Below are 20,357 nucleotides of genomic sequence, written 5' to 3'. Positions count from 1 at the left end.
TATTTAGTTGCTCTTCTGCGTTTGCTAAAAGTGCAGTGGTGGGTGGCATCACACAGTGGTCGGAGTCAGAACTGGCTTTTGATACCAGTAGTTGACCTTTGACAAGTATTTAGTCTTTTTAATTGTAGTTACCTCACTGGAAATTAAGGAGAAAATAACAATAACCTTTTTCATAGCATTGTTGGGTAGATTAAATGAAATAAGTAAGATGCCTAATATGATACTTAGCACAGAGTGAACACTTGGTAAATAGTTATTGTTAGCTAAAAGGCGTAGTTTCCTTGATGCCCAAATGGAAGATTCCATTTCAGTTCCACAGCTCTTGAACACTTCCCTGTGCAGGGCATTGTAAGGGATAGATACACAAGTAGGACATAATTGCTAGATTATAATTTGGGAATAAACTAAATACAGAAATGTCTACAATACAAGAGGGAATAGGGAGTTTGTTAGGGAAGATGAAGGGCTCTAGAGGTAGATGGTGGTGATGGTGGCATAATAATATGAATGTACTCGGTGCCACTGAACTGTCAACTGTTCTCTTAGAAATGATTACGATGGAAAATTTTATGTATATTATACCACAGTTTTTTGAAAAAGAGAATAAGAAAAAGGCCAGGCTGGGTGCAGTGGCTCACACCTGTAATCTTAGCACTTTGGGAGGCCGAGGTGGGAAGATTACTTAAGCCCCGTAGTTTGAGACCAGTCTGGGCAATATGGCGAAACTCCATCTCTACAAAAAATAAATTAGCTGGGCATAGTGGCACACACCTGTAGTCCCAGATATTCAGGAGGCTGAGGTGGGAGGATTGCCTGAGCCTGGGAGGTTGAGGCTGTGGTGAGCCATGATCATGCCACTGCACTTCAGCCTGGGTGACAGAGTGAGGCTGTCTCAAAAAAAAAAAAAAGCCACGTGTGAATTCTAAATGACATTGAAGTTCAGATGAAAAAGCTCTCTGGCTACATTAGGTTTCTGATGCAAGAGACAGACTTTTTTTGTTTTTGTTTTTTAACTTACGTTCCCACAAAACAAAAGAGACAGACTTGGTGGGTAGGTAAACGTTAAGAAAATAAATTATTAAATAGAATAATATCTACCAGAGGGCACAGAGAATAAGGAACTTTGTCTACCTGCTACCCAGCCGAGGAAGTAAACACTGCCAACCGGCGGAACCCCCCGCCTTGTGCTCTGCCCTCAGTGTGCTCTTCCCCATGTCCACTGTTGTGAATTATTTATTTCTCTAAGTAGGCTTTTGATGGACAAAAATGGGGGCTCAGGAGGAAGTGACACAGGCACAGAGGCAGGAAAGCAGGGATGGGTTGTCCGACGAGCGAGTTCTCGTCTACTTTGGCCAGATGGCATGTACTTGTGTGTAGAGAAATGACAAGAAATAGGGCTGGTGAGGGGGAGTGCCAGGGTGTGCGCCCCATGGTGGTTAATTTAGGAGGAAACAAGGAGCTTCGTGATGATTTTGGAGCAGAGAAGCAGTCGGATGAAACTGCTCTTTTTTTTTTTTTTTTTTGAGACCGAGTTTTGCTCTTGTCTCCCAGGCTGGAGTGCAATGGCACAATCTCGGCTCACCGCAACCTCTGCCTCCCGGATTCAAGCGATTCTCCTGCCTCAGCCTCCCAAGTAGCTGGGATTACAGGCACGCGCCACCATGCTCGGCTAATTTTGTATTTTTAGTAGAGATGGGGTTTCTCCATGTTGGTCGGGCTGGTCTAGAACTCCTGACCTCAGGTGATCCGTCCGCCTCGGCCTCCCAAAGTGCTGGGATTACAGGCGTGAGCCACCGCGCCCGGCCTGAAACTGCTCTTTAGGGAGGTTAATCTGTCAGCAAAGCGTGGGCTGGCTTGGCGTGGCAGGACCAGGTTGGCGGCGGAAGTGGAGGTTAGGAAGAAATTAGGATTTGAGCTAGGGCTCTGGGAGAGGTATTCGGACCAGCTGGCCCGACTCCCTTTCTCACTTCCCCTCTCCTGCTGACCTGAAGTGCTTTCCCCACCTCTGTCACAGGCACGTGGTCTCTTAGCTTCTTTGTATACCTCTCCTGTGGCACTTGACACACATTTTGTAAGTCACTTCCCTGTGTCCCCCACTGGCTTGGGGGCTGCATTTTGTCATGTTTGTCTTTTTGTCCTTGGCACCCAGCACAGTGCCTGGCACCCAGGATGTGCCTGGGTAGTGCTGCTGAGTGAGTGGTGATAACCGGGCTTCAAGTGGAAGTGAGTAGGAGACAGGGCTCTGGTGAGCGGGGAGGGGAGGGGCAGTGGGGGTGCAGGAGGGAGGGAGTCATTGAGGCCGGATTAGGCAGAGCATGAGGGATGGGCAGGGCTTTGTCCCGCAGGCAGTTGGAGTGTGGTTCTGGAGCTCAGGGTGAATGCTCTGCTTGGAGACAGAAATTCAAGCCACTCTCCTCCAAGTGCTTGTGGAAATCAAGGAGAATATAAAAGTTTGAAAGGCCACTAGGAGCTATTAGTGGGTTGGGAGAAGGAAAGAGCTGCCATCGAAGGGAGGGGAGAAACGAGAGAAACAAGTTGGATGACCTAACATCCTGTTAGAGACTGGCTGGAAGAGGAACCCAGAAGTAGACTGCACTGTTTGACCCTCACCGGTCGGTCGTATGCAGAGTGGTTGTGTTCTTGAGCTGAGGAATGCCGGCCTTGTTGCCTGTTTGGCTTTGATTACAGTATTTGTAGCAGAATGTTGCTATGGAGATTCATGCCAGGTACGCAGTGGGAGGTGATCTAGAAGACCGTGTGCCAGCCACTCGTAGGTAATCACTGGCGCTCAGAACATGCTGAGACAAGAGTTCTCGTTGGTTTATTTCCTTCCCCAGCTGTGTGAGTTTTCAGATTTCATCATTGGAAATGATGTCTTACCCAATGATACAAAAGCAGAGGAAATGCCTTTGTAGAATTTCTTCCAAGGGAAGAATGAAAGTAGAGAGGTGACTTAGCTTAGCTTTGTTGTCTCTAGAATACGTTACAGTGTGTCAAGGGAAGGCTTTTCAAAGTATTTGTCAAGGGATTGTGAGGAACGTAGTCCATTACTTTGTCAAAGAGTTTATGTGAAAAGTAGATATTTGAATAATTTCTTATATTTCAAGCAGCGTTACAGCTAATGTTTCTTTTAAATCAAACCTTTTATCTCCAAGGTTAACTAATGGCACCTCGAGGTTACATCTGCAGCCCAGTGTCTAGGATAGTAGAGGAACATAGTGCAAATTCATGTTTGTCATCAGAGCTGGGTGTGGTGGCTGACACCTGTAAATCCAGCTACTCCGAAGGCTGAGGTGGGAGGATCTCTTGAGCCCCATGAGTTTGAGACCAGCCTGGGCGACATAGTGAGACCCTGTCTAAAAGAAAAAAAACAAAAGTGGTCTAACATGTTTGCCATCAGACAGTAGTTTTCATTAATGTGAACATGACTGAGGTCAAGAAGTTTATTCATGTACCCAGCCTTTGCGGAGCATCTGTGGTGTGCCACTTGGGGGATGTGAAACCAGTAAACCACATAGTTTTCATCATTTAGGATCATGCAGGTGTACAGGGTACATGTGAAACAGTAGTGAGGCCCACACACTGGTGGGGGGAGATCCAGTAAGCCTTTGGAAGGTGGGGGGTCAGCAGGGAGTGTTTCCTGGAGAAGATGAATGACTCATAAGTTATGATTCAGAGAATGAGTTAAGAGTTAGCCAGGTAATGAGGGAGAAGGGCTCCCAGGCATATGGGAGGAACAAAGGCACTTAGGGAAGAAGCCGGGACAGAGTGTGTGTGCATACAGGAATATTATAAGTATTGCTGGAGGGACCAGGGCAGGGTGTAGTGGGGGCTGAGGCCCAAAAGGCAGTCAGGGACCAGATGGCCTCATATGCCCTGTTAAGGAGCTTGGGCTTGATCCTCTAGGCAGGGAGCCGTTGGAGGATTTAAGCCAGGGAGTGCTGCGGTTGGTCACACTCGCCATTTATGTAGATCGTTTTGGCAGCCAGGGGAAGGATGGATTTGAGGGGGATGAGATTAGAAAGCTGGGATATGAGTTAGGAGGCTGAAAGATGGTTGATAAAAATGATCGTTGGGCAGCCGAGATAACTGACTTCAAGGACATATACTGGACTTATAGCAGAGCCTGTTGAGTCTTGCTTTTGCACACAGTTCAAATAATCACTTAGTCATGTGGTTTATCTGCCAGTGGCAAATGTTAAGACTGTGGGGAAAAACTAGAAGAACCAATAACATCATCAAGAAATAAGTGATAGGAGGCAAAAGTCATAAAAGCCGTACAAAAATTGGAAAGTTGACTGTTGAAGCATCGTGGTTAAGACAGGATTTGGGTTGCTAGGAAACTTTGGGGCAAGTATTTAACCTTCCTAAGTGTCAGTTTCCTCCTCTTTAAAATGGGAGTTAGTAATACCATCCTTATTGAGTTATTCTGAGGATTAAATAAGATGATGCGTATAAACTATTTTACACCATGCCTGGCAAGAAAACCCAGTAAGTGGAAGCTGTTACTGTGAATACATTTTGTGGCCTTTTGATTAGGGTAGTGTTTTCCTTAGATCTCTAATTTTGTGGATGTTAATTGTATTATAATTACATTAAAAAGAGTTCCATGGTAAATCAATTTGGGAATTAAAGAGGGGTTTGTTTTTTTGAGACAGGGTCTCTGTCGCCCAGGCTAGAGCATGGTGGTGTGACCATAGTTCACTGCAGCCTCCATCAAACGAGCCTCCTGAGTAGCTGGGATTACGGGCGCTTGCCACTACGCCTGGCTGACTTTTTTGATTTCTAGTGTAGATGAGGTCTTGCTATGGTTTCCTAGGCTGTTCTCAAACTCCTGAGCTCAAGCAATCCTTCTGCCTTGGCCTCTCGAGTGTTGGGATTGTAGGCGTGAGCCACCACACCGGCCAAGAGAGGTTTTGTTTCTTCTGCTAGAGTGTGGTGAAGCTCCAGAGGGGCAGCCTACACAGTATTTCTCGTTCACACTTGATTGCAACTCTTAGAAAAGCTCACAGGACTGAGTCCTTGGGGGCACACTTTGGCAAATGCTTATTTAGGGGAGAAACATACCCATCTGCTTCCATAGCCCAAGAGTATTGCTCTATCAGAGACAGCACCATAGTCACTTGATATTCATAAGGACAATTCTAGATCATCAAGGAAAGCTACCTTAGTTTCATGTACTCTGTTTAAGAAGGCAGGGAAGTATAATAGTATGTTTTATTTCTGATCCCAACTAATCAAACTTTTAAAAATAATGTTTTACGGCCGGGCGCGGTGGCTCACGCCTGTAATCCCAGCACTTTGGGAGGCCGAGGCGGGCGGATCATGAGGTCAGGAGATCGAGACCATCCTGGCTAACACGGTGAAACCCCGTCTCTACTAAAAATACAAAAAATTAGCCGGGCGTGGTAGCGGGCGCCTGTAGTCCCAGCTACTCGGGAGGCTGAGGCAGGAGAATGGCGTGAACCCGGGAGGCGGAGCTTGCAGTGAGCCGAGATCGCGCCACTGCACTCCAGCCTGGGCGACAGAGCGAGACTCCGTCTCAAAAAAAAAAAAAAAAAAAAATAATAATAATAATGTTTTACATGTTTATTATAGAAAATTTGGAAAACACAACCATAAAGAAGAAAAGTGTAATCACATCATATCACTACCCAGAGATAAACACTGTTAACAAAGCATTTAAGTTTTTTTCCTTTGTTGTTCCCTTTTGGGATGATTTTTTAGAGTTTTTGTAGAGTTTTTGTTTGATTTTAACCTAAAGTTATACTCTGGGTATTTTCTTATTTTTTAAATCAGAATATTCTTACATGACATGATTTTTAACAGCTATGTGATCTTTCATGTGGATATGTCATTTATATAACCATTCCTTTATTGGATATTTAGGCACTTTTTTGCTGTCATAAATTATAATGCAGTTAACATCTTTGAAATCTGTTTAAAACAAATACGTTAAAGTGATCAACATTTAACTTTTTTTTTTTTTAGTAAGTCTTAAGTGTCTAGGCAGTTTTTAGGTAAAATATCTGATCCCCTACATGAAATATGATTATATAGTTTTTTAATTACGAAATTTCAGTGGAGTAATCTCAACAGATTCTCTTTTGACTAATCCCTTTTTTCCCTAACCACAGACTGAAAAAAAAAATTCCATTATTAGAATAGCATTTTCTCATTTAAACGGAATAGAAGATGAGTAATTGGAGTCACGTGAGAGTTAAATTTTATCTGTTGAACCAAATTCCGGGTCAGGTGTTGGAAAGTTCATGTCATGATGTATTTTAAATGTAAAAACAAAATTGTCAAAAGATACAGTCTTAATAAACATAAATCCAGGGTCCACCTGGATAGGCACTTTCTTATTTGCACCTGTGTAAAGACTGGTCCGAAGAATTCTTAGACATGAATTTCCAGAAATTGTAAAAAGGAAATAGAGATGAGGGGGAAAAAACAAACAATAAAACCCGAAGCTCTTCCTAAACAAATGAATGCTTTGGTTGTTGGTCCTGGCCAGAAACTATTAATAAGAAAATCAGAATTTTAGGAATTCTGTCTTCCGTAAGCTGGTTTTTTTTTTGAGATGGGAGGGGAGTAGAAGCTATTAACTGACACCCCTCATGGTCAGGTGGTCATGACTAGGTATCTGGACATTTCTGCTCCTACACTGGAATCTCATACTTACACAGGATCAAATGTGTTCACTCCCAGATCTGTTCATTCTGGTTTTATTACAATAGTTCTATGATTTCATTAAATCCTGGGGCAACTGGATTTTTGCATGAGTGCAAAGAGAAAGTTATTTCTACAAAAACTGTCAACTGAGTGCTTTGGAAAGCATAGATATAAATTGATTCTCTTGAAAGAAAACTTGGTGGTGAATTAGGTCTGGACTAGATAGGGGAAGTGGAAGAATTCCCAAAGGACTCGGACTCTGCCCTGATTGCTTATCCGGTGTCCAGTTCCCACCCCACAGGAAAAGGCGTGGCCTATTGGAAAAAGAACTTCTAGTGGACCCCTTCCCTTAAGAAAAGACCTTTACCTTAAATGAAACATTGACAACAGATTTTTAAAATGCTTAGTGTGTGCTTTAACCAAACTGCTCAGTTACAGGGACCTAACTGGTTCTGATGATGTGGAGTGGAGGGCTCCGCTGTGCATTTCCTGGCCTTTACTGCTGAGATTCTAATTCGGAAGGCCTAGGATAGGGCCAGAGGACAAAGGCAGTTAACTTTGTGATCTGTGTGGGTGTCCCATCTTGTCTTCTGATCCTCACTCCTGCCCTCCTTCCTCCAAGGTCTCCAGTTATTCTGAAGCCAGTTAGGACATTTTATAACATATGCCAGTTATCAGAACCATTGACACCTGTTAGTATATTTCTTTATTACTGACACCATTATCCACATTATAAGTCCAAGAAGAAGGGAGAGCTTGTTTTTCCTCTGAGTATTAGAAAATATGTCTTCTGGCCAGGCACGGTGGCTCACGCCTGTAATCCCCAGCACTTTGGGAGGCCAAGGCAGGCGGATCACGAGGTCAAGAGATCGAGACCATCCTGGCCAACATGGTGAAACCCCATCTCTACTAAAAATACAAAAATTAGCTGGATGTGGTGGTGCACACCTGTAGTCTCAGCTACTTGGGAGGCTGAGGCTGGTTGAACCCAGGAGGCAGAGGTTGCAGTGAGCTGAGATCGTGCCACTGCACTCCAGCCTGGTGACAGAGTGAGACTCTTGTCTCAAAAAAAAGAAAAAAGAAAAGAAAATATGTCTTCTAGGAAAAACCAAACCCTCTCCTGGTAAGTTGTGCCTGCCAGCCCTAGAAACTGTCAAGTGTGTCACTTTCCATCTTACCTAGGAATAGTCCATTTATTTTCGAGCCTAGCTTTTTGTGTTTCTGTGGTTAGCTGCACTCACACGTACCAATTTTTAGATTCACGTCAGCTACATATGGAGGGGATCGTTTGAGTCTAGATCTCACTGTCTGTTCCTTTTCGAGGGAAGCAAGTTTTCTCTCAAGAAGGATTTTGATGTCTCCGATAAAAATAGCTATCTTTATTAATCTAATAGTTGGAAGTTAGAGGTTCTGTGTGTGGAGTGGGTTGTTTGGTGGAACATTCGATAAGCAGCTGGTAAGTTTCCTTCCTGAGTGGGCTGTAGCCTTGGAGATGGTTTCACACAACCCCCAGGATTGTCGTATTTTAGGACTGTTTCATAATGTTCTCCGATTCTTTAACTATATTTCTGTATTTGCAGATCTTTTAATTTTGTCAACATGTTAATAGTCCAACTCCGCAACTGTTAAGTTTGTTTCAGTAAAACTGAAGATTTGAATTAAGCCACATTAATGTGTTTACAGCACATCTAAGGGCCATCGTAGGCTTGGGTTACAGGCTTCACCTGAAGACCTGAATTCAGGTGGAGACTGGTGAAATTAGTTTGTCATTGGGAATATCTTTTTACTGAATGAAGGTGAATTTGGACTTTTAAATAACCTAGCCTTTAATGTAAAGCTCAAACTCAAATTGCATGTTACTTTGGTGAAATTTACCTTGAAATTAGTTGGTGTGATAAATCAAGTATAGTAAAATAAAAAGAGATGCAGTTAACCTAGCTGAATGTATGGCAGCCTTTCTTTATCAAACCTAACCCATAAGCCTGCTGCATTTAAGGTCTTAATGCAATTTGAGAATATTTCTAGTAGTAGAATAGTACAAAAGCTAAGATTTGTTTTATTCCTTTTCTTTGTGTTATAGATAACTTTGAATTTAATTTTATCTGGAGAGGAAAAGGTGAAAATCAAATTTCCCACCAAAAGGAACTAGTATTCCTTTGAGAAGGGCCAGCTAAGCTTGGGGGCAGCAAATGTACAGGATTGGTCTTAGACATATTTTACTGGAGAGCAGGGCAGCAGTGGTGTCCCAGAACAGCCTTTTATCAGAGATAAAAACTTCATTACTTCATAATGATACTCCCAAAAAGCTTATTGGTCATTTTTGGAGTTTGCTCAGGTATGAACTCAGTCTTCCAAAAGTTGGTTTAAAAAGAAAAAAAAAAGAACCAAGCATTTATCCAGCTTTTCCTATATAAACTGTATTTCATGTAGTCAAATAGATGAGGCAAAAAGTTTTTTATAGAAGAAATTGAGCCAACACATGCAGAGGATGATATTAAAGGATTATTGTGAATTTTGCTAAATGTGATTATGGCATTGTAGCTAGGGTTAAAAAGTTCTTACCTGTTAGAAATATAAAATTTTTAAGCATGAATGATGATGCTCGAAGTTTGCTTTAAACTACTTTTAAAAAAAAGCGGGAATATAGATGAAGATTGGCAAATGTTGCTAATTGTCGAACCTAGGAGACGGTTATACATAGTTTCATCATACTCATCTCTCTACCTTTACTTTTTGAAAGTATCTTCTATAAAAGGTTTTTTTAAAAAAGGTATAAATAGGAATGAACCTTAGATGATTGTTGTTATAACATGAAAATAGAGAAATAGTAAACTAGTAAATTTCCATTTGATCCTCTGCTGGAGTGTAGTGGTGTGATTACAGCCCACTGCGGTCTTGCCTTCCCTGGCTCAAGCAAGCCTCCTTCCTCAGCCTCCCAGTAGTTGGGACCACAGGTGCATGCTGCCATGGCTGGCTCATTTTTTATTTTTTGTAGAGATGGGGTCTTACTTTATTGCTCAGGCTGTTCTCCAACCAACTCCTGGGCTTAAACAATCTGCCTGCCTGGGCCTCCCAGAGTGCTGGGTTTACAGCCATGAGCCACCATACCTGGCATAATTTATTTTTAGAGATAGGGTCTCACCATGTTGCCTAGACTGGCCTTGAACTCCTAGGCTCAAGTGATCCTCTTGCTTCAGCCTCCCAAGTAACTGGGGCTACAGGCGTGAGCCACTGCACAGTAGTTAAGATCGCAGCTCTGGAGGGAGTTACTAGCAGTTGTAACTTTGACAGCTCGTTTAACCTTCCTAAGATTGTGTTTCCTGTCTCTTGAGTAAAATGAGGACAAATTTGTCTCACTGTCACAGAGGATAGAATGGAGACAGTGGAACTAAGAGAAGGTGGCACATGCTAGCTATGCTCAACAAATGTCAGCAAATTTTGTTGAAATGTGGAAGATACTGACAAGAGCAAAGTTTTCAGATCAGCACCAGTAACTTGTCTTACTTAAACCGTTAAAATCACATCTGTTTTGATTTTTCCCCTTTTTCTCTTTTGAGCCTTTTATTGGAAGAGCAGATGCAGTCTGTGCGGGTATGCAGTGCTGCAGTACGAAGTGAATGGCACCCCCTGGAGTTGGGCAGTGCACAACGCTCAGTGCCTTACGTAGGAGGATGGGCTTGACTGAGACTCTGAGCCAGACTCCCTGTGATGATGGTGTCTCCCCCGAGCCTGGCACACAGAGGTGCTTCCCAAGTATTTCTTGTATGAATGAACGAACAGATGAATGGGCCAACCACTGTGCTGGAGCATGTCATTGTGGCCCTGATGAGCTGTAGAAATGGAAGCTTGGGATTAGGGTTTTTCTGTGTGTGTGTCGTGTTTGTTTTTTTTTTTTCCTTTCTGTGGAGATCAGTGCCTCACTCCGTTGCCTAGGCTGGTCTTGGTCTCCTGGGCTCAAGCAATCCTCCTGCCTCTACCTTCCTTAGTGCTAGAATGACAGGCGTGAGCTACTGCACCGGTGTGTAAATTACACGTGTAAATATAGTGGCTTCGAGGCTCTCATGACAGTAATGCTACTCTAACATTCTGATATGCTTTCTAAGTGGGAGAGGGCTGATTTCAGTGAAGAGAAGCGTCGCACAAAGCCAGCTTGTGTCTGTGTCTCCGTGTGTGTTTTGTGTCTCATGTTTCACCACAGTTAATGGGTAGCTTCGCTTTCCAGCCATCAGTGTCATCATCTTCATTTTTCCCCCTTTCCATTTCACTGCCAAACTGTTATCACTGCTGGAGTAAAAGCTAGGAATGCAAGTAGTTTCCCAGTTTATAGCTGGTTGTATCAACCCATGACGTTACTGTTTATGAATTTGAACATTCAAAAAGGCTAATCTTCAAAAAAGCTTAGCAGGATTTTCACAATGACTGACAGATAGTGTCCTGAGGCCCCAATTATGAAGATTCTTATGGTTAAAATTGAGCAAGTTTTTTTTGGAGTACATTGGCACGATCTCGGCTCACTGTAGCCTCTGACTCCTGGGTTCAAGTGATTCTCCTGCCTGCCTCAGCCTCCCAAGTAGCTGAGACTACAGGCGCACACCACCATGCCTGGCTAATTTTTGTAGTTTTAGCAGAAACGGGGTTTCACCATGTTGGCCAGGCTGGTCTCCAATGCCTGACCTCAAGTGATCCGCCCGCCTCGGTCTCTCAAAGTGCTGGGATTATAGGCGTGAGCCACCGAGCCCAATCAAGCAAGTATTTAGCTATGTGCCTGTGTTAGCCTGGGTACTGCGCTAGGTTCTGGGCACAGGGGAATGATTAAGACATGGTTCTACTCTTAAGGGGCTTTATGGTCACCATTAAAAGAGTGGATGTGAGCTCAAGTGTCATTTTGTGTCATGGGGTAAACTGTTCTAACTATTTCAGTCAGGCTTCTGGCAAGACATGGCACAGTCAGCATGAGGGATTGGTGAGGAGTTGAATAAAGGGATTCCCCACAAGGAGAGGGCAGCGTGGAGACCCCCAAAGCCTGATGCAGGATTAGCAACAGCCATGCACTTCTCACTTCCAGGCCTGCGGGAGGGGCAGAGGAGAGGGCTGCCTTGGAGGAAGGGAGGGTTGGAGGACCTGGCCCAGCTGCAGCCGCACCTCAGCGAGGCAACCCGGGGAACACTCCCCATCTCCGCTGTCCCTTTTCATCTTCCTCCTACTGTTGATCCTCATTGCTGAATCCAACCAGAACCTGAGGGTGAGTGTCCGGGTGAAGGGTTGGTATAGGTCAGCCAGGTGGCTGCTGGGGCACAGAGCAGGATAGACAGTGGTTTTCAAGAACAGGTGGAAGATTCCAGCACTGTACTAGTCCTGTGGCTGCTGTAACATGACCACAAACTGGGCAGCTTGCAACAACAGAAACTTAATTCTGTCACAGCTCTGGAGGCCAGAAGTCTGAAATCAGGGTACCCTGTTCCCTCTGGAGGCTCTAGGGGAGGACTCTTCTTTGCCGCTTCCAGCTTCTCATGTGTGCTGGCGTCCTGGGCTTGTGACCACATCATGCTGCCCCCGTCTTCACATGGCTTTCACGTCTGCCTCTGTCTTCTCCATGTGTCTCTTAAAAGGACTCTTGTCGGCCGGGCAGGGTGGCTCACGCATGTAATTCTAACACTTTGGGAGGCCAAGGCGGGCAGATCACTTGAGGCCAGGAGTTTGAGACCAGCCTGGCCAACATGGTAAAACCCCGTCTCTACTGAAAACACAAAAATTAGCCAGGTGTGGTGGCATGCGCCTGTAATCCCAGCTACTCAGGAGGCTGAGGCAGGAGAATCTGAGGCAGGAGAATCGCTTGAACCTGGGAGGCGGAGGTTGTAGTGAGCCGAGATTGCCCCACTGCACTCCAACCTGGGTGACAGAGCCAGACTGCCTCAAAAAAAAAAAAAAAAAAAAAAAGGACTCTTGTCATTGGATTAGGGCCACCTAGATGATTAAAGATGATTGTTTCATTTCCAGATACTTCATTACATTTGCAAAGACCTTTTTTCCAATAAATGTAGGTTCTAGAGATTAGGGTGTAGACACATCTTTTTGGGGGAGGGGGGCACACCATTCAGCACACCACAAGCATCCTGTCACTCCCAGGAGACTTACAACACCTTCGTGACACAGCAGTGGACAGGTTTTTTGTTTTGTTTTGTTTTTCTTTCTTTTCTTTTTTTTTTTTTTTTTGAGACGGAGTCTCCCTCTGTCACCAGGCTGGAGTGTAGTGGCACAATCTTGGCTCACTGCAACCTCTGCCTCCCGGGTTCAAGCGATTCTCTTGCCTCAGCCTCCTGAGTAGCTGGGACTACAGGCGGGCACCACCCTGCCCAGCTAATTTTTGTATTTTTAGTAGAGATGGGGTTTCACCATGTTGGCCGGGGTGGTCTTGATCTCTTGACCTCGTGACCCACCTGCCTCGGCCTCCCAAAGTGCTGGGATTACAGGCGTAAGCCACCGCACCCGGTCTAGCAGTGGACAGATTTTATGATTCTGTTTGTCATATTTAGTAGCTGCACTCTCCTAAGGAAAGGAACCTCACCTTCCTGTTCACTTTTCTGTCTCCATTGCCTGTACTTCCAGAGCCAGCCCGTGATGATGCCTGAAAAAATTTTTTTTGATGTATGAATAGATGAACAAACAAGCACAGAAGAATACAGTGTGAATACAGTGAAGCCAGAGGTGTACTCTGCGAATACATGAGACACCCTTGAGTGGAATGGTTTCAGTAGATGGATTGTATGAGGTGTGAATTGTATCTCAATCAAGCGGGGCCTCAGGGAGTGCCCACCACTAAGGGTCTAGCTCTGTGTGGCGTTGGTGGGGCTGGGGAAGGTTTAGAAAAGGTTCCGTTGCTAAGACCTTGGTTAGGGTAGAGTTTGCAGCAGAGATTTGGATAGGAGGGCGTTCCAGGCTGAAGAGCCAGTGTGAGCAGAGTCTTTGTGGGAAGAACATTTTATATTCCTGGACCTAATGCTTGTTTAACAAGATGCTTGCTTGTGGCTGGGCGCAGTGGCTCAAGCCTGTAATCCCAGCACTTTGGGAGGCTGAGGCAAGAGGATCGCTTGAGCTCAGGAGGTCAAGGTTGCAGTGAGCCATGATTGCACCACTGCATGTCAGCCTGCGTGATAGAACAAGACCCTGTCTCAAAAAATAAAAAATGACAATAAAGATTGCTTGTTAAATAAAATGTGATTTATTTACTTTGCATAAATACTATGCCTTCTGAGAATGCTGTAGGTGCGGGCATATTTTGTTTTTATCCTAACGCAGCCCAAATTCCAAGTACACACTGGATTTTGAGCATTTAAAGGACTTCCGGTGCTATTAAGGATTCCCATTTGTTTGTTCAAGTTTGCTAAACGAATTCAGTCATGTCACTTACTTAGTTGTTGTAAGTATTATATTACAGTGTGAAGGGGGTAAAAAGAACTGCTATGAGTATCTTTCCATGAAGAAGATTTAGCTTGGAAATGTGGGCAGATTTGTCTGCCTTTGTGTTTAGGAAGGCACAATTATAATTACAGGTGGAGGAGCTAGACACTGGCCAGCTGGAATCAGAATTTCACATTGTAGAAGTGTCTGGTCTGGAAAGCATCCATGGGAAACCTACACCCTTGACCCAGCATTGGCCACAGAGCTGCAGGCGGTCTCCTGCCTCTGCCTCTGCCCCTGCGTGCCTCTCCTTTGTAGCAGCCGTGGCATATGCAGAGGGGACTGTAGATCTCTTTTCTTTCTTGCTGACTTTATTTTCTACCACACTCCCCCAACCCAAATAAAGAAATAATGACATGTGCATTTGAGATAGTGTGTGTGTTTTTTTTTTTTCTCTTTCTGAGATGGAGTCTTACTCTGTTGCCCAGGCTGAAGTGCAGTGGTACAATCTTAGCTCACTGCAACCTCTGCTTCCCAGGTTCAAGCAACTCTCATGCCTCAGCCTCCCCAGTAGCTGGGATTATAGGCACCCGCCACCACAGCTGGCTAATTTTTTTGTATTTTTAGTAGAGGTGGGGCTTCATCATTTTGGCTAGGCTGGTCTCGAACTCCTGACCTCAAGTGATCCATCCGCCTTGGCCTCCCAAAGTGCTGGGATTACAGGTACGAGCCACCGTGCCCAGCCAGACTGTGTGTTCTGAGAGAGTTACATATATTAATGTAAGCATCCCAAGAGATAAAAAGAGACCTCCACATTTCTGCCTGGATAAGTATATATAAGATACTTTTTTTTAACTTAAAACAGAAAAACCCTTTCTCTACAAAGTTATGCGTGCTTGCTCTAATGAATCAAACACTGTGATAGTTAAAAGTAGAAAGTGGAAAGTAAAAAAATCATACCACTCGGGCTGCTGCTGTTACCCTGGGGTGAGCATGCTTCCAGAGAGTTCTCTGTGCTCATGCACGGATAGGTGGGCAGAAATAAGTTTAGACAAGCCAGGTCCTACTACAAATGCTGTAATCAGGCATCTCATTTTTCTTCACTTATGAGAAGTAATGGAAACTGAAGTGAAACTGAGTAAATTTATAAGAATGTTTCTTTACCACAGAGAGATTATTTCCTGAAAAGACTTTTCTATGGTTAACAAAAAGGATCATGAGAATGATCAAGAGGTTGGCATCACTGTTTTCAATTTCAGGTATCTGTTGGTGCCTACCATGAAACAAAGACAGTGGCAACTTAAGATTTTTTTTTTTTTTTTTTTTTAGTTTGATGGTTCCTAAAATACCTCTCTAAGCATTCTCAGATTTACTGTACAGATTTGGTCACAGACATTGAGGCTGGAATCAGTCGGAGAGGGGTGGAGAGCCGGGTGTATGTGGCCGGAGTGGCTGCCATCTGGGCCTTGCTGAGTGGTGTATGCTGCGCCTGTGGAGGCCTCCCGGGCCTGTCCTGGCCAATTTGCCTTTGCTTTGCAAATGAACAAAGCTGTTGTTTCTCCTCCCCCCTTTTTTTTTCCAACTGTAACAATGAAAAGATTGAGGAAAGAGTTTCTACATTGATTGTAGCATCCAAGGTGTGTTCTGGGGCAGGTTTTGAGTGTTAAAAAGTTTTATCCAATGCTTAAGAAAAGACATTCACCTTCAGCACATGCATCCTGGCCATTGTCCCTACTGCCATTATCCTGCAGGATGCTGTGGGTATTCTCTGGGTGGCCACTTAGAATTTACTGTATTTGTCTGGGTGTGGTGGCTCATGCTTGTAATCCTAGAACTTTGGGAGGCCGAGGCAGGGAGATTACTTGAGGTCAGGAGTTCAAGACCAACCTGGCTAATGTGGCAAAACCTCGTCTCTACTAAAAATACAAAAAAAAAAAAAAAAAAAAAAATTAGCCAGGTGTGGTACACACCTGTAATCCCAGCTACTTGAGAGGCTGAGGCACGGGAATTGCTTGAACCTGGCAGGCGGAGGCTGCAGTGAGCTGAGATCACGCCACTGCATTCCAGTCTCGGTGACAGAGCGAGACTCTGTCTCAATTTAAAAAAAAAGTTATCGTATTTATATGAAAACATCTGAATACCCAAAGGATATTTAAAAAATCACTGCCAGTTTAACAGTCCTCAGTTGGAGTTTTTTTTTTTTTTTTTTTTTTTTTTTTTTTTTTGAGACGGAGTTTCACTCTTGTTGCCCAGGCTGGAGTGCAGTGGCGCGATCTTGGCTCACTGCAACCTCTGCCTCCCAAGTTCAAGTGATTCTTCTGCCTCAGCCTCCGAGTAGCTGGGATTACAGGCATGTGCCACCATGCCCGGCTAATTTTGTATTTTTCTTAGAGAAGGGGTCTCTCCATGTTGGTCAGGCTGGTCTTGAACTCCTAACCTCAGGTGATCTGCCTGCCTCAGCCTCCCAAAGTGCTGGGATTACAGGTGTGAGCCACCGCACTCGGCCTCAGTTGGAGTTTTATTTGGCCTCTTTTGATGCCTGGTGGCTTATGTGTGTCCTATACAAAACAAATTGCCTTTTTTCCCCAGACCCCAGAAATGTGGACACGTGAGTTGTCTTTATTATAGTCCACGCTTTCCTTGTGTTCTTCTCCTCTAGGACTTTCTAATATATAGGACAAGTGATTTTGACTTGACTTAAACCCTACGGAAATAAGATTTTGTTTGTAGATGCATTTGTATGGTGAAACTGGAGCAAAAGTCTTCAGCTTAGCGGTATGTATCAGCAGGGAGCTTTGAAGGCAGCATCCATGCCTGGCCCCTCCTGAAGAGCTCAACAGGTAGGGGTTGGTCGGGACATTGAGATTTGTAACAGCAGCCTCCCTACTCCCCAGTAAACGGGGATCGTAAGGCACAGCCGAGGCTGAGACTGCTGTGGGGTAGTCTAGGCCGCCTGCTGGAATGTCGGTCGGTGCTGCATTGAGCGCTGTCTTTCAAGTGGTTGCGTGGGAGACCTGCACTTGCTGTGTGCTACCTTGACTGAGGACTTTTGAGGAAATTCTGTTTGACAATTACTTTAAGGTCCAGCGTGACACCCTCCCTCAGACTTAGTCTCTAGTGACTTTCTGATGGGAGCGCCTCTGCTTCATCAAGGATTGGAGGCACTTAGCTCTCAACAAACTTAGGTCGCTTTTTTTCCTCCACAGTTTTGTTACCTCCCTTATTTGCCAGGCTTGGCTTTGAGTGAATCTTGGCTTTTTTGGGGTTGTGGGGGGCTCTCTGATTCATTCAGCAGATCTTCACTGAGTGGCAGATGTGTGCAAAGTGCTTGGGATGCCAAAGACAAGTGTGTCGTCTGTATTTAGTGTTGGGACAGACAGTGATTGAGACAACAGATTTAATCTTCACTGATGACAGTGATGATGCCACGAAAGACATGGGCGCTGACAGAGGGTGGCTGCTGGTGTAGGCAGGATGGTTAGGGACCTCCTTTCTCAGAACTGACCGGGAAGGGATGGTGGGGACCAGGCCATTTGGGGCCTCACAGATCAGGGCTGATGAGTTTGGCTCCATTTATGCTTGACTCAGTTTATTTGAGGGTGGGAGCACTCCTGTTTCTCAGAATTCCCTGTGCCTAACCCCAGGCGTGGCAGATAATACTCGCTCAGTAAATGTTTATTGAACAAATGATTGATTGAGAGTGATGGAACACACAGAACTGTGGGTCTGGGAGCAGGAGCGCGAGGCCTGTCTCTGAATGCAGCCTGGACAATGTGCCCTTCTCCTCATCCGCCAGGTGAGACCAGCAGGAGAAAGCCATCTCAGCAGTGGTTGGTGGTTGTATTTACAGTTAAATTTTATTTTGAGATGCTCATAGTTTCACATGCAGTTGAAAGAATACAGAGAGATCCTGTGTCCCCTTCTCCCAGCTGCCCCCTGGGTAACATCTGGTGAAATTCAACGCACTCTCAGCACCAGGATCGGGGCACTGATACTGCCAGGACACAGAACATCAGGACGGCTCCGTCCCCGTGCAAATCCGTCATGTCGGCCTTTTATAGTCCCACACACACCGCTAATCTGTTCTCTATTTTTGTGATTTTGTATTTCAAGGGTGTTGTGTGCATGGGGTCATGGAGTGAGTGGCCCTTTGGGGTTGGCTGTTTTCCTTCAGTGTGATTCCCTAGAGCGTTCTCAGTCCCGCCAGTCAAGTTTCTTCCTTTTGCTGCTGAGTGGTATTTTGCGGCCTGGCTGGCCTGCAGCTTGTTTAACCATTCACCTGTTAAAAGACACCTGGGCTGCGTCCAGATTTTAGTTGTTACAAATAAATGTTGCTCTCAACAGTCCTGAGCAGGTTTTTGTTGAATATAAGTTTTCATTTCTCTGATATAAATGCCCAAGAGTACAACTTCTGGGTCATAGGGTAGTTACGTATTCAGCTTTATTAAAAAGTGCCTGTTTTCCAGAGTGGCCATACAGTGGTTTTTGTTTGTTCTTTTAAATGACTTAACAATGGAAGGAAAGACGCTTCTGCATGGCCTGGCATAGAAAGCCCATGGAGAGCCGCCCTGTGGGTGGGGAAGCGGGTGACGGGAGCCCCACTGCTTACCAGAAACCCGAGTGAAACTGCGTCTTTCCAGTCCCAAGATTCTCCTTTTTTGCTAAAGGCATCAGAAGAGATGAAAGCATTTCTACCACCCACATTTCGAGGACACTCCTAGCTTTTACTTTAGAGTTGGGAGAGAGGTTTGGTTTTCATTGTCATTTAAATCCTGTTGGGTTTCAGCAGAGCCTGATCTTTAGGGCCCTGGGTGCAGCTGTTGTCTGGAGATGCAGATCACTGTCTGCTGAAAAGAGCCCTCCTGCTGGGGTTAGGGATCTCCTGATTGAGGCATGGATCCAAGGGCTTCTTTCTTTGTTCTCTGATTCCCTGAGGCTCTTCCTTGTGTGTGTGGTGCGTGTGCACTCGTGTGAGCGCACCAGGAACTATGACAGCAATCAACGGGTATGACTGGGGGTGGGGAGCAGAGGCAGCATGGCCAGGAATCTATACTCGAGCTACTAAGAGGAAGGAAGTCGCAGCAAAAATAGCCTGGGTGGGGTGGTAGAAAATATTAAGGGGAAAATGAGATGACTGGGGTGGCGTTGAAGAAGAGCTGCTTAAAGAGAAACAGGGACACACGCTGGGTAAGGAATCGCATGCTGTTGAAACTGACGGTGTGGAAGGAAAGTGAGGTGGCGGCGGCTGGGCTGTGGTAGAGGAAGCCGATCACCAGTGAGTGAAAAGGGAACTAGGGTACCCACGCGTTTGTGTTTTTTATTTAAACTTTGGCTAAGTTTTGCTAGGAGCGTTTTGCCTTTTTTTCTCAGACCTTCTACTCCTGTCGTTCTCCCCTAAGTTCTGGGCATGTGGCTTCTTCTCTACCTACCAGGGTAGCCTGTCATTGCTTTAAAGGACAAAATGAAATCCCTGATGGGCAAAATATGTCCCCCCTCTTCCCCCAGCTTTTGGTCGGCTTTGCTCACCCACCAACAGCTAGGAGCTGGAAGGCTCAGAAGAGCTGGGGTGGGCATGGGAGAGACAGAGGAACCCCGGTGGCTGGAAACACAGTTCCTTCCCAGGGTCTCTTCAGCTTGCTGGTTGGACCTCTTAGCCTGCTTATGAAGCCTGAATTGACATCATGCCAACTGGTCTCCTGCTGATAAGTGATTCCTTAACTTCCTCGGGAGCAGCAGAAACTTGTTTTGAAAAAAATCAGATTCTAAATCTTTACAGCTGTTTACTTCTGCAAGCACAATGGCCGTAGTAAGGAATTCAAGTCACAGCGCAGCCGTGGCAGGGAAGGCTCTGCATGGAGTCACAGGACAAAGCCTGTCCTGGAAACGTGCTGGAAGGAAGTCGGCCTCATTCTTTACGACGGGCAGCAGCTCCAAATGAGAAACCAAGGGGCTTGGCTCTGGGTCAGTAGCATCTGCCTGGCATGCGGTGCCAGCTGTGGAGACCAGTGAGGTGGCAGCAGCTGCACTGGGCTCCTGGGGTGTGCGTGGGGACCTCAGGGGTTTAGGAGCTGATATACTTTTGGTTCTCATCATCTTGTGTGTTCCTTGCAGACACAGAATGTTCAGCTTAACAAAGAAATGACACTTGCCAGCAACCGGAGCCTGGCAGAAGGAAACCTTTTGTACCAGCCCCAGCTGGACACGTTGAAAGCACGCTTGACCCAGAAATACCAGGAACTCCAGGTTCTCTTTGAAGCCTATCAGATAAAGAAGACCAAATTAGG

General features: G+C 45.2%; 1 protein-coding gene across 6 annotated transcripts in view, besides 11 other annotated features; it reads left to right on the top strand.

The window, feature by feature from the left end:
• VPS37B (VPS37B subunit of ESCRT-I) overlaps positions 1-20,357 on the top strand; it is a 30,795-nt gene that overhangs the window by 4,879 nt on the left and 5,559 nt on the right. The window contains exons 1-3 of one of the 6 annotated variants that reach the window (XM_047429550.1): positions 19,215-19,260; positions 19,579-20,034; positions 20,185-20,356. In XM_047429550.1, the coding sequence (XP_047285506.1) occupies positions 20,008-20,034; positions 20,185-20,356 (199 nt within the window). In that variant the 5' untranslated portion in view covers positions 19,215-19,260; positions 19,579-20,007. Of the gene's footprint in view, positions 1-11,740; positions 11,918-18,950; positions 19,349-19,578; positions 20,035-20,184; position 20,357 lie in introns of those variants that run through there. The other 5 variants (XM_006719602.5, XM_011538743.3, XM_017019971.2 and 2 more) reach the window with 5 other exon arrangements.
• Positions 2,103-2,819: an enhancer, noted in NCBI's record as "H3K27ac-H3K4me1 hESC enhancer chr12:123372974-123373690 (GRCh37/hg19 assembly coordinates)". NCBI's record gives its function as "activates a minimal SCP1, AML or CMV promoter by ChIP-STARR-seq in naive H9 embryonic stem cells {active_cell/tissue: H9 hESC(naive)}" and the evidence as "EXISTENCE:reporter gene assay evidence [ECO:0000049][PMID:30033119]".
• Positions 2,430-2,724: an enhancer, noted in NCBI's record as "tiled region #12402; K562 Activating DNase matched - State 5:Enh". NCBI's record gives its function as "activates a minimal TATA promoter and a strong SV40 promoter by Sharpr-MPRA in K562 cells {active_cell/tissue: K562}" and the evidence as "EXISTENCE:reporter gene assay evidence [ECO:0000049][PMID:27701403]".
• Positions 3,638-3,767: an enhancer, noted in NCBI's record as "active region_7243". NCBI's record gives its function as "activates an Ori minimal core promoter by ATAC-STARR-seq in GM12878 lymphoblastoid cells {active_cell/tissue: GM12878}" and the evidence as "EXISTENCE:reporter gene assay evidence [ECO:0000049][PMID:35858748]".
• Positions 3,778-3,857: an enhancer, noted in NCBI's record as "active region_7242". NCBI's record gives its function as "activates an Ori minimal core promoter by ATAC-STARR-seq in GM12878 lymphoblastoid cells {active_cell/tissue: GM12878}" and the evidence as "EXISTENCE:reporter gene assay evidence [ECO:0000049][PMID:35858748]".
• Positions 14,296-14,504: a silencer, noted in NCBI's record as "fragment chr12:123361289-123361497 (GRCh37/hg19 assembly coordinates)". NCBI's record gives its function as "represses an EF-1alpha promoter that drives an FKBP-Casp9 reporter gene in an ReSE screen in K562 erythroleukemia cells {active_cell/tissue: K562}" and the evidence as "EXISTENCE:reporter gene assay evidence [ECO:0000049][PMID:32094911]".
• Positions 15,229-15,398: an enhancer, noted in NCBI's record as "active region_7241". NCBI's record gives its function as "activates an Ori minimal core promoter by ATAC-STARR-seq in GM12878 lymphoblastoid cells {active_cell/tissue: GM12878}" and the evidence as "EXISTENCE:reporter gene assay evidence [ECO:0000049][PMID:35858748]".
• Positions 17,520-18,026: an enhancer, noted in NCBI's record as "H3K4me1 hESC enhancer chr12:123357767-123358273 (GRCh37/hg19 assembly coordinates)". NCBI's record gives its function as "activates a minimal SCP1, AML or CMV promoter by ChIP-STARR-seq in primed H9 embryonic stem cells {active_cell/tissue: H9 hESC(primed)}" and the evidence as "EXISTENCE:reporter gene assay evidence [ECO:0000049][PMID:30033119]".
• Positions 18,536-19,042: an enhancer, noted in NCBI's record as "OCT4-NANOG-H3K27ac hESC enhancer chr12:123356751-123357257 (GRCh37/hg19 assembly coordinates)". NCBI's record gives its function as "activates a minimal SCP1, AML or CMV promoter by ChIP-STARR-seq in naive and primed H9 embryonic stem cells {active_cell/tissue: H9 hESC(naive and primed)}" and the evidence as "EXISTENCE:reporter gene assay evidence [ECO:0000049][PMID:30033119]".
• Positions 18,536-19,550: a biological region, named in NCBI's record as "hESC enhancers GRCh37_chr12:123356243-123356750 and GRCh37_chr12:123356751-123357257".
• Positions 18,844-19,133: an enhancer, noted in NCBI's record as "active region_7240". NCBI's record gives its function as "activates an Ori minimal core promoter by ATAC-STARR-seq in GM12878 lymphoblastoid cells {active_cell/tissue: GM12878}" and the evidence as "EXISTENCE:reporter gene assay evidence [ECO:0000049][PMID:35858748]".
• Positions 19,043-19,550: an enhancer, noted in NCBI's record as "OCT4-NANOG-H3K27ac-H3K4me1 hESC enhancer chr12:123356243-123356750 (GRCh37/hg19 assembly coordinates)". NCBI's record gives its function as "activates a minimal SCP1, AML or CMV promoter by ChIP-STARR-seq in naive H9 embryonic stem cells {active_cell/tissue: H9 hESC(naive)}" and the evidence as "EXISTENCE:reporter gene assay evidence [ECO:0000049][PMID:30033119]".

The sequence above is a fragment of the Homo sapiens genome, chromosome 12, assembly GCF_000001405.40.
Source record: "Homo sapiens chromosome 12, GRCh38.p14 Primary Assembly".
NCBI lineage: Eukaryota > Metazoa > Chordata > Mammalia > Primates > Hominidae > Homo > Homo sapiens.
The sequence above is the reverse complement of the archived record's forward strand: the minus strand, read 5'-3'. Positions and strand labels throughout refer to the sequence as shown.